Below are 13,169 nucleotides of genomic sequence, written 5' to 3'. Positions count from 1 at the left end.
GAAATAAACCAAACACAGAATGACAAATACTGTATGATTCCACTTGTATTTGAAATCTCAAAAAAACAAACTCAGAAGCAGAGGGTAGACTGGCCAGGAGCTGTGGTGCAGGTAAGTGTGTAGGTGTGATTACAGTACAAAGTTTTAGATATACCACATAAATAAGTTCAGGAGGTCTAATTTACAGCTTAGTGCTTATAGCTATGAATACTGTATTGCATACTTAAAATATAATAGGAGGGTGAATTTTATGTTAATTATTCTTACCAATAAAAATAATAATTAGAATGGGAGGGAGAACTTTGGGAGGTGATGAATATGTTTATAATCTTGATGGTAGTGATGCTTTCACAATGTATCCTTATTCTCAAACTCACTGAGATATACACATTAAATAGGTACAGCTTTTTGAATGTAATCATGTCTCAACAAAGTGTTTTTAAGGGGGGTTGGTTAAAAAATTTAAAAAGGAAGGGTAGATGTTCCTTTGCCATTCTCTCATGCCTTTTTTCTCCCTGCTGTCTAGAATTCAGAAATAATAGGTGGGAATTTAGCAGCCAAACTACGACCTTTTCTAAAGTATAGCAGAGCAAAGAGCTGGAAGGGACCTGCATCCCTAATGATATAAGAAAGAATCTGTACTAGCCCTGAATGGTATAACTACAGGTTAATTTTAAGTGAAAAAGAAATCAACTTCTGCCTTGTTTAAGCAAACTTATTCAGGCATTAATTTTATAAACATGTAGAGAATACATACTCCTTATGAGCAGAAACAATGTTTATGCCATATGCTCCATGATGGGTATTCAATAATGTGTGACGATAATAATGAAGACAATAGTGATAAATAAAAGAAAATAAAAAGCAGTGAAACAAAGTGGTTTAATAGCTATACATAGATATTTTGTTGAAAGATTCTGCTGCTAATATTATTCAATATTTTTGTATGCTGGTGCAAGTAAGGAAAATTACATTGTCTAATAAAAATTATTTATCAATTTATAAAACAGTAAAAATTTCATAGAATGGGGCTAAGAATCTGCATTGCAAACTAACTCTTTCAGTTGATTTATGCACAGTAATTATTGAGAATCCCCTTATCTAGATCCAACGGATCTGGACCTACATAGGTGCTATCAAGACTTAAGGAAGAAAATTTTCCTGACTCTATCCATACCTCCAGTTAGTAATAGATCTAGAGATTTAGAACTGAAATCCAGACCTCCTGCTTCCATGTGCAGTGACCTTTCACTGTCCTGTTTTGCTTCACTTGATGAAGAGGATTTGAGAATAAATGACCACTTGATTCAACTCCTCCTCAACTCTGAGGAATATAGCCCTGTCCTGGCAAACAAGAAACTCCTGCAGTAGTAGAGGAGGCAAATATACGTTCACTAATCTAACATACAAGGCAGTAGGCACTGTACCATAAACAAGGCACTGTGGGGGTTCAGACCAGCGGCAAAGTGGGGATTAATAGGGCTAGTAAACTCTGGGAAGGTTCACTAACAAAATGTCTAATCATTAACTAAACTAAAAGGTTTCTCAACATGGCCTAATTAATTGTAACTTAACATAAATGGTTGTTTGTTCATAAACCTTAATCTTTTGCCAAAATATTGGTAGCTTATGTTCCCATTTAACAAGGTTTTCTGGTCAAAACTGTGCACCCACATCATTCTAATGAACTTAGTGTCCAATAAAACATGGACTCTCAGTCATCCTATGAAGGTTATTTTGTGTGCATAGTACATCTCTGTGAATATGCGTAATGAGGTATGGAAGGACACTTATTATCCAAACAGAGATATTCCACTGGTGCTAGAGAGCCACAGACGGAAGTTTTCTCTGTCTACTGGAAATAAAGCCAAGCTTTCTTCTTTCCTCAGCCGTGAGGATTGCTGTCCTCCTCTTTATCATTCTCGTTTTTTTTTTTTTTTGTTTTTATGAGCCAAGCTCCACCAAATAACAAGATAAACTTTGTGTAAGACTTGGTAAGAGTAGAGTGTCTGACACCTTATTGTGCTATAACACTCAAAGCAAAAGCAAAATCGCCTATGACCAGAAAAGGGAGTCACATAGGAAATCTAGAAGACCTATTGGCTGAGAGACCTGCAGCCTCATAGTTCATTAGCTCTCCATAGCAACTCTCACATGAAATGAAGTCAGTGGTGTTTCAAGTGGTTGAAACCCTCTTTACTCTACTTCTAAATGTGAATTAATTAGGCAAGTTTACTAGCAGTTACTAGACCTCAAAAGCAAAATAATCAGGCATTATTCTATTAAATATTGGTCTCCATAACTCCTCTATTTTCTTTTGGAAAAGTTAGTTAGTCTAAGACATTTGGCATAAAGGCTATGCCAAAGCTTTGGTGGGGTCAGCCAGGAAGGATTCGTGGGGCCTCCTTGAAAATATTGCAATAATCTAAGAAATCTTCAACCTATTGCCCCTCAATACTGTTGGTCCCTTGTACTGGACTTTTCCCCTTAAGTTTGATTCCATTTCCTAACATTATCCTTCCCTCTTCCTCCTCAGCAACTAGTCTTCTAAATTAGAACTTAAACACAATGACCAGATATGACCCTGCAACAGAGCACGCCCTTCTGCATTGAGCATGCAATCATGAATCACAGGTATAAGACCCCTTGAACAGACATGGTTTTGGTGATTCTGTGTAAGACTTATTGCTTTTACCCAAGAAGATGATCAGGCATTCTAAGTAGATCAGAAAATTTTCTGGAGCTCTTGAATGTGTGTAGGCAAGAAAGATTAAGCAACCTGTTGCCTTATATGAGGCAAACTGTCTTCTCATATTTTCTTTTGAATTCAAGATTTCAAGGTTGGGGAAGGAGTGGGAAAGTAGCCATGGACATGTGAGAATGTGGATGATCCTTGTACATTGTCAGGGATGGTCAAATTCTATGCTTCATGTTGTTTGCTAAAAGACACTTTCCAAAGTTTTCAACAGAAAATATGGTGGCACACATGCCTATTCTTCGTGAACCCAGACATTTCTATCTAGTCTGTGATAGTAAATTTAAAAGGACGGCTTAGGGTAAATGAATCCTTCAAGTTATAAAGATGAAGGGCAGTTTTTGGACAATTCCCATTTTGCTGTAGGAAAACTAATCTGGAAGAAGTAAAAGGGAAAGATTGAAGTGGAGAGAACGGAGATAGAAAATGAGTTCAGTTGATCAAATTTTTGTTAAGCGCCCACTGTATGTGGGACCCTTACAAGGAAACAAGCAGACAAAGAAAAAAAAAAGCATGTGATGGCCTTGCTCTTAAGAAGCCAGAGGCCAGTCACTGGATTGCTACATATCAGGAAGATGTCAACAAGCCCCTACAATACAGCACTGGCATAGGATGAAGAAGAGGTTTCTTTCTATGAGATAAATAGCACACAACCAAAAAAGAAAGCCAAAAGATACACAAGGCTCGAAAACCTAAGGCACCAACCCTTAAGAGATCTGATTGTTGGTGGTAACTTTGGAAGGAAAATTATTATTAGGATTATTTTAGTACTAAGAGTTTTGAGCTGTCTATCCAAGATTGTCATCTGCACCTCTGCCTTAGGTAATACTGTGTGTGTGTGTGTGTGTGTGCGCGCGCGCGCATGTGTGTGTGCCTTTGCATGTGTTTGAAATATATTCTGTATCCCACACTCCACATAGGTTTGGGGCTGATCTGAAACTATACTCTTAGGGATGGGGTTAAGCTACTCTGTCACATTGTGAAGAGTTGATATGTAAGAGACTCTTAACCTTTTATAAATTACCTTTAAAATGTTTCCTTTTCTGTGAAGGGAAGAATAACAATTTGTAAACAAATGCAAAAATAACTTTAACTAAACAAAAGAACAGTTCGTTAGCCTTGTTATGATTAGCAGAGAGGATAGCTGCAGACACTGTAAAATCACTCAGCAACAAGATTTGACAAAACCTTAAATATGGCTCTATTTTTCCTGTTTTATAGAGGAAAATATTAAGGCTCTGGGAACTGAAGTACTTTTCTCAACAGTGGAGTAAGTGTCAGAGTCAAGGCTGGGTTTTACATCCCAGCTTTCCCTATACATTCCACCCTATGGTTCTGTTGTGCTGTTCCTTTGTGTGACTCCGTAAAGCCTGCTTAAAGGTGATACCATATCAAATTGTATTAACTCAGTAGCACATAACGCCAGGGAATTGATTTATAAGATGTTTATCCTTGTGGCATTGCTGAAGACCCATCTGATTAGTAGTTATCAAGTAGTCATCCTGGATAAATATATGGGTTTGATTTTTAATTTTGAAAATGAAAAATATTTTAAAATATATGTCTTACATCCATATCCCAGGAAATTCTAATCAAGTTTTAAAACTTCCAAATTTAGATAAACTAATGGTTTTTTGTTTTAATTTTCTCTCAATGAAAATAGAAGAAACTAATTGGATGGAACAGCACAGCAGAAGCATTACTTATAGCCAAAAATGGGATACAACAAGACTGAAGAAGAAAATGCAAGACAGTGCTTAAAAAAGCAGTCTAATGAAAAGTGAGGTCTCCTCTGGATGTCCTTAGGTAGACATTGCAGCAGAACTGTAAAGTTTTTCTGGAAGGCTGGGGAAGAGAGGAGGAAACAGAGAAGGGGCAAGAGGAGAAAATAGAATGAGGCTCAGAATACCAAGCCTTAGTGCTGTCCCTATCGCCTTCCTCGCTAGATCACTGGGTGATCCTGCGCAAGTTTCTTCCTTTCCCTCAGCTCATTTCCTCATCTCTAATGTAAGTGACTAGACAAGATAGCCTATGCTGTTCATTGTAACTCTAACTTTTCTTCCCAAAGCAAATAGCTGGAAAAGACACTGTGCTTACAATATGCAACAAATAAAGACAAAAGATTTTTAGAAACCCCTAGTGTAACTTGAATTCTTACAAATAAGCAATGGTACATCATAATTTTACAAAGCCCTTTTGTGATTTCATTTTTAAAATCACGTCAAGTTTTATTTTACTTCATAATAAGATAATGGGAGATAAGTGTTAAATGGGTTCATGAAGGAATGTTTGTAAAAGACACAATAATCCAAAATAGGTAATTGTTATATTAGTAGTTCCCTTTACTGGGGGGGAACAGATAAAAGAGTGTTAGGAAAAGCTTCATAAAGTGGATTATATAGAATGTGCTTTAAAAGAGTTTGGTGTTTTATTGAGTGGGGAAAGAGCAATATGGGGAGTTATTGTTCAAGGGTTAAAGCTATACAAAATGAGTCAATTACAGAGATAGGCTCCAAAACATAGTACCTATAGTTAACAATGAGGTATTTTGTATTTAACAATTTGTTAAGAGGGTCGATCTTAGGGGTTCTGACAACAACAACAACAACAACAAAGGGACGTAGGAAACATTTGGAGGTGATGGATATATTATTACCTGGATATTGGTGTGGTAACAAGATAATATATATGTGCAAACTTGCCAAACTATATCCATTAATTATGTACTGTTTGTGTATAACAATTTTACTTCAGTTCCTACTATATTGCCTGGCAAACGATAGATGTATAAAGTGAGATCAATTATTATTGCATGTGCATTTCAAAAATAATAAAGAAAGCAGGTGACAATAAAGACATCCTGAATCTTTGGGAAATAAATAGCATTCACCTGCTTTCTCATCCATTGAGATATCACCACATTTATGTACTTGTGTGTCCCTGGAAGTTTCCTGTGGGAGATTTAGTTATTCTCTTTTCGTTAGGCTCTACTGACCAAGAACAAATCACAGACTCAGAGAGCATCATAAAAAGGCCTAGACCCACGATGCCCAGAGACTCCAGGCTCAACCCACATTGATGCTGGCCCTTCAGCCATGAGACTCCATTTGCTTCTCCTTATTCTCCTTCTTTTTTAAATTCTCTTATCCCCAGGTAAGTTGGTAGCTGATTACTATAAGGTTCTGCAGATCAGAAGGCTATATCTCTGGCCAGACAAGATACTAGAATCAGTCCTGTGGGTTCAAGAACCTAATATTTACAGCTTCACTAGGATTATAATAGGGAAAAATAGAAAAGGGACTCATTTAGCAGTAGCTCCTGTTGATAAGATTCCATCCATGTCTTTTGACCTAGTGAGTGGATATAATAATCGATGCTGCTGAAATTCAATCCTATCAGATGAAACTGCCTACATGTAAATTTCCATGCCCCACCAAGCACCTCAAGATACAAAGTAAAGATACAACAGAATGTGACCTCAATGAGATGCCTTTGCGGGACATGGAAATTTATATGTAGGCAGTTAGATCTGACAGGATTGAATTTCTGTGGCATCTATTATTATATTCACTTACTAGGTCAAAAGAGATGGATGGAATCCTATCAATAGGAGCTACTGTTTAATGAGTGTTGACAAATCTGAAGGTTTTATTCGAAGAGACAAACGGAAAAATTATAATCCTAGAATAAGTGAAAATTATATGAGAGACTTTTCAAAATAAATTATGTTTTATGCGGTTATGAATAAAAAATGATTTGCAAAGTGAAAGTGAAAAGTAGAAAGGAGAGTTAAAGGAACTTCAGACAAGTGAATTAATAAGGAGCAAAGACACCAAGAAGTGCTGCTCATGGTATATTACAGGTAACCACACAGAAATGGGTAACATAACTTTCGATACAAAAATGGCTAAAATTTAATGGGCTAAGCATGCATTTTGGGGGCTTCTGGGAAAAAAAACAGCATAATAACCCTAAAGAAGATAAAGGGAAAATTATAAATACAAAATATAAATTAATGAAACAAATGAGAAAAAACTAGTATTTTTAAAAATGTTTTTCAAAAAGTCTAATACACTTTATAATAACCTGGCAACACTGAACAAGAGAAAATGAGAACATGCTTAAAATAACTATTGCAGGAATGAAAGGTTAATATCAAAACAGATGTTTCAGAGATCCAAATAATTTTTAAATTTGTGTATTATATTCCCTCTTCGCTGTGTACCTGGGGATTTTCCTGTTGCAGTTCACTATATCATGACCGTGTCATTAATTTTGATGCTAGTAAATTATTACCATCAGCATACAAATATGCTGTTGTTTTTCTGATCTAAGAAAAAGAATTTCCTTGCTTTTCTTCTGATGCCAGCTGTCATCCCATTTTTTGCTCTACTTTTCAACAAAACATCTTAGAATAGTTGTCCATACTCTCTGTCTTCAATTCCTCTCCTCTCATTGTTTCTTAAATATATCCCAATCAGGCTCTTTCTCCCTTTTTCGATCATGATATTGACACCACTTTTGTCAAAGTTACGAATAATCTCCACATTACTAGATCCAATGATCATTTTTCACTACAACTTTAATCGGCCTATTAGCAGCATTTGACACAAATAATCACTTCCTTCTTCACAGTATACTTTCTTCAGTTGGCTTCCAGGATGGCACATTCACTTGAGTCTCAGCCTGTCTCACTGGAGCTACCACTTCGGCTTCCTTTGTTTCTTCCTCATCTTTTGCATCACACCTCCTATAGGAGAGCTGCAGAGCTCAGTTCCTGGTCCTCTTCTCTTCTCCCTCACCACACACTCTTTGGAGGGGCTCAGCAAGTCTCATCCCTTTCAATTCTCCTTTTGGACCTCCTTTTGAACTCCAGGCTTAAATAAATTATCCAACTGCATAACTGGTATATCTACTTGGACACTTGATTTCAAAAGTAATATATATCCAAAACCAAACTCACGATTTTCCCTCATAAACCTCTACATACACATTTTTTCTCTTCTTGCAGAGTGCCATGGTCAGCATTGGAGCCTCTCTTAGCTTTTCTGTCCACTTTCATCCTCAGCAAGCCTCTATCTCTGCACCTCAAGAATCTCTCAGGGCTTCCATCCCTTGCCCAACCTCGGGCAGTAGCTGCCTCACACTCAGTGAAAGACCAGAGAATCTACTTCTCTCAGCTACCTGTCCTGCCCTGCCTTCAGACCTCATCAGGCCTCTCTTCTTATGCACCTGTGAGAACAGAGAGTGAAGGGGGTTTCTCTCTGCTCCCCAACCCACTCCCCAGTAACAGAGGATTTTCCCCGATTCTCACAGTGCGACCTCTACCTTTCTTTGATCTCTAATTGCAGCAGTTCCTACATGCCTGTCCCTCAAAAGTGTCTCAGGTAGTTCTCCTGCTCTCCATCTGATCTTACCTAGGAGCACACAAGATAGGTCATGAAAAAACAATTAGTGGGGCCGGGCGCCGTGGCTCACGCCTGTAATCCCAGCATTTTGGGAGGCCGAGGCACTGTAATCCCAGTACTTTGGGATCACGAGGTCAGTGGCTAACACGGTGAAACCCTGTCTCTACTAATACAAAAAATTAGCAGGGTGTGGTGGCACGTGCCTGTAGTTCCAGCTACTCGGGAGGCTGAGGCAGGACAATCGCTTGAACCCTAGAGGCGGAGGTTGCAGTGAGACGAGATCGTGCCATTGCACTCTAGCCTGGGTGACAGAGTGAGACTCCGTCAAAAAAAAAAAAAAGGAAGAAAGAAAAGAGAGAAAGAAAGAAAGAAAGAAAGAAAGAAAGAAAGAAAGAAAGAAAGAAAGAAAGAAAGAGAAAGAGAAAGAAAGAAAGAAAGAAAAGAAAAGAAAAGCATTAAAGCATTAGTGAGTGAGTGAGTGTGTTTGGGCCCCTACTGCTGCTAAACTATCACAAGCCCACATTCAGCCTTTCAACATTTGCTTGAGGTTCACTTGTTTCCTTCTTATCTCCATCAAGGGCAGCTTCCTCCTGTTTCTGCTGCTGCAACTCAGGTACACACAAATCATCTGTGGATCCGTTCTTTTTTCAGTAGGCTTTCATTACTCTGAATTTAAGTTAATTAGCTTTTTTTGAGACCTCAGCTCTGTCTTTTAAAATGAAATCTATGATCTATAGATTATCCAGCTTATTCTCTTGGTCAGGGCAAGAGCATTTTTCTATAACTTTCTAAATTCTAAACAAAAGTAAAAGTTCACTTCTTTTCAGGATCCCCCCCATGTCAGAAAGTATTACTATTATCATCAGTTTAGTGATATTTATGGAATTCCAAGTTGACTCTGAGATCAGCTTTTGGGTTAAATTCTTTCTTCCTGATATATAGCCTTTGAAATTTTATTTGCTGCAGATCTCTTGATAGTGAACAATTTTAGTTTTTATCTGTCAATTTCATATTTTTATTTTTGTTCTTGAAAGACAGCATTACTGAGTACCCAATTCTATACTAACAGTTATTTTCTCTCAACATTTGTTGATACTAGTTTACCCATTTTTAGTTTTTGCTTTACTATAATAATCAGATAAATATTATTTCATGATAAATTGTCCTTTTTTCAATGTTTATATGGTCTGGTGTTTAGTTTTAATGTTTTATAATTTATAATTTAACTAATGTGAATTTATTTTTATATCATCTGTTAGAAATACGTTCTTTGAATCAATGGATTTATACTTTCTCCTAATTTCTTTTTGAGAATCTCTTGAAACGGTGAATCCTCTTACACTTCTCTCCCCCCATATTTGAATTAAATAAATGTTAGACCTTGTGTTTCCATGCTACATTCTGGGTATATCATTTAAGCATTTTTTTCTTTACTAATTATCCTGTTACCTATATCTAATATATCATTAATAACTTGCATTTATTTTTAAATTTTTTTTTAATTCAGACCTGCCTTTGTGTTTTGTTTTGTTTTTTTGGAGACAGAGTCTCACTCTGTTGCCCAGGCTGGAATGCAGTGGTACAGTCTTGGGTCACTGCAACCTCCACCTCCCGGGTTCAAGTGATTCTCCTGCCTCAGCCTCCTGAGCAGCTGGGACTACAGGTGCCCACCACCATGTTCAGCTAATTTTTATATATATATATACTTTTTTTTTTAGTAGAGACAAGTTTTCACCATCTTGGGCATGCTGTTCTTGAACTCCTGGCCTCGTGATCTACCCGCCTCGGCCCCCCAAGGTGCTGCAATTACAGGCATGAGCCACCACGCCCAGCCAGATCTGCCCATTTTTTCTATCATCTATATTGTTTTACTATTGATTTTACATCTTTGTAATAGTAGACTGTTTCTTTAAACAATCAATACACAGGTGCTTAATTATTTCTCCACATTGACAATTTCAACACATTTAGTTTTCAAGGATTTAAATGTGCTATTCATTTCATTAACTTTTATTCATGCTGTCTTGCTTACCTGATCATTTTTAATACTGAACTCATTGCTCTTCCTTAATCTGCCATCATTCTACGGTCTGAAATGAGAATGCTATTATCCAAACTTCCTCTGTGAAACTGACTCAAAGCTTTATCTCAATATGGAAGTTCCAGGATTAACGAACTGGAATTTCTGATGGCCCAAGAGTCAGTAGTACCACCATTAGCATTACTGATAATAGCAGATCATCCTAGAAGATCTGGGAAACCCTCACCCACCTCCATCAGCTAGCCAATACAAAGTACCCAGTGCTCAAGCTCCAGTTCACAGACTATTTTTTGTATTTGAAAGAGGAGATATTTTAAGAACTTCCCTAACCATTTTCAAGGATAGAAATGTTTCAAAGAGATCCTCTAAAATGTATTTGTTCGATAGCAGCAGTCATTTAAGAACAGCTAACTTGCAATCATGGCCAAAAGCCTAAATCTTTCTTTCATTCTAATCACAGATATTTTGTATCTTTTGGAGATATCTCAGATTCAGATGTATTCATACTATTCTATGATTTGGGACACTGCTATAGATTCTTCAAAATGTTACAACATTCCAGTGGTATTTTGGGAGGTATGGAAGGAGAGGAAAAACAATGGGCTCAAGTCTCCCCTGACTTCTCTTCTTACAACATATTTCATTGTCCAGAACTTTTAGAACTATATTAATACAACATTGACAGTGGGTATTCTTCTTTTCCTTCTGATTTTAATAGGATTGAAGGAAGTGTTTTGCTATGAAATTGCTATATGCGTTGTATTCAGACAAATTTTGACTTTGTAAAGGCAATATTCTTCTCATTAATTTAAAATGTTTACCAGGATTCACAGTATTATTTTCAATTCTCCCCATTCAAAGGCATATTTAAATAACTTGATGAAAGGGGAATATTATATATGTTACTCTACTATGGAAACAGAAAAAACCACCACCAAATTGTATTCTAGATACTTTGTACACCAATTGCACCATCTTTTTTTATCTAAGACATTCAATTCTTCCACAGGCGGAAGCACATGAATTAGCATCATTTACTACTTGTAGTTTTCACTACAGACTTTCAGACCTATGGTACCTAAAGGAAATAGAATGCTTCTAGCTGGGTTTAAAAGCTACAAATAAACAGAGGAAATATACACTATTTTGAAAGTACCACTTGAGTGTTCTGTATGTATTTCAATATTATGTTGCTAATTTTAATTGTTCAAGGTTAAGGAGCTTAAACCTCCTCCTCATACATTCCTGAATCATCCATTACTCCCACACATACATTGTTTGATACAGCATAATCCTAAGTAAGTAAAGAGGTAGCAAAATGAAAAAAAATAAAATAATGTGATACCATTCTCATCTAGGAATGGCATCAGTGGACAGATGTGAATAAAAGTAATGTGATTATAATTTTAAAAATCATATTTAATAGGATCCATTTATTATTAAATGAACATTAAATTACTTAATGTATAATAAATCCTTAACACAATGAAAACTCTTAATGCAGAGTGAGACCAAAATGAAGGTATTAACTGTTTTCTTCCTAATCCTTGCTTTACTTGTTATTTCCACCAGACCGTCACTTTATTTGAAGGATATTGTAATAACACAAAGCCCTCAGCTTTGCCATTAGAGAGATCTTCCTTAAATTATCTTTGTTGTAATAAAGGTCATCTGGAGGAAATACTGGTCTGAATACAATAATAAATGTTAAGCTTTCTAGTATTTTCCACTTTTAGACACAAATTGAAAGAATCATTTATAATGTCAAAAACACTTTTTTCTAACTAATCTATTCTATGCCTAAGACACTACTAGCAATTAAAGTAGATAGATCAAATCTAAATGTGGAGAGAAAAAGTAATTTCTACTTATGTTTAAACAGATGAAAGCATGAATAAATTGAAAGCCTGAAATATTAGCTTGGGGGAATAACGTCACTTTTGGGGAGCAGGAGCAGGATATACCAGCCTTTAGCTCTACACCCTCCCCGCAAGAAAAAAATATATAGATAGTTATGTACAAACCAAACTAGCCCTGGCAGGGTTCAAGGGACCATTTAAGAAACTATGACAACACAGTGAAGACAAAAAAAAAAAAAAAAAAAAAAGAGAGAAAGAGAGAGTGAAAGAAAAAAAACTAGCCATATAGAAAAAACAGCTGCTGAAATCAGCATACCTGAGATGCCAGAAACATCTTTTTTGGCTAGAAACAAAAACAGAAAGGGACTATCTGTATCAGCCACAAGGTGGAACCACCAAGGCCCTCAGTAACCCACTCTGGCAGAAGACACTGGCATTTTTTGCCACTGGAGTAAGCAACATCCCTTTCTGACAGAAAACCCAGAGAAAAAGATGAAGAGGTACCATCTCCTCCCACATCCCTTTTCCCCACCAAAAATGCAGTGACTGTTGGGCCAAACCAGGATTGGAACTGCTACCTTTCTTAAACTGCATGTGTCTCTGACATATGAGCAGCAACCATTTCAAGAGCTCCCACATAAAAATGCTCATACTAAATTTATTCTGTTACTTAAGAGTGTTTATGGATTTACATTCCATTTGTGGACTAACTATCTCACTGGATCTTCTTTCCTGCAGTAAGAGGTGGTTTGGGTCCTGCGGAAGGTCATTGTCTCAATTTGTCTGGTGTTTGCAGAAGAGATGTCTGCAAAGTAGTAGAAGATCAAATTGGTGCCTGCCGAAGAAGGATGAAGTGCTGTAGAGCATGGTGGATTTTAATGCCAATTCCAACACCACTTATCATGTCAGATTATCAAGAACCCCTTAAACCTAAGTTGAAATGAAACTGAGACAAAATAAAAATACATCAAAAGTGAAGTTATTTGCATCTAAGAATATTAAAATATACATATTAAGTACTTCCATCTTGATAACTGTCTTGCATTTTCACTTATCAACATAAATGAATAAATACTAATTTCAAATATACCCAAGTACTATTTCTT

At 36.6% G+C, this 13,169-nt stretch overlaps 1 long non-coding RNA gene and 1 pseudogene across 2 annotated transcripts in view; one reads left to right on the top strand and one right to left on the bottom strand.

Annotated features, from left to right (window-relative positions):
• Positions 1-13,169, bottom strand: part of FAM66A (family with sequence similarity 66 member A) — a 48,983-nt gene that overhangs the window by 4,786 nt on the left and 31,028 nt on the right. The gene's annotated exons all lie outside the window — the stretch shown is intronic.
• Positions 5,851-12,932, top strand: DEFB109A (defensin beta 109A (pseudogene); annotated as a pseudogene). The gene is made up of 2 exons (NR_024044.2): positions 5,851-5,908; positions 12,802-12,932. The product of NR_024044.2 is annotated as a defensin beta 109A (pseudogene) (transcript).

This window comes from Homo sapiens, chromosome 8, assembly GCF_000001405.40.
Source record: "Homo sapiens chromosome 8, GRCh38.p14 Primary Assembly".
In the NCBI taxonomy this organism is placed as follows: domain Eukaryota; kingdom Metazoa; phylum Chordata; class Mammalia; order Primates; family Hominidae; genus Homo; species Homo sapiens.
This window is presented reverse-complemented; position numbering and strand designations above follow the sequence as displayed.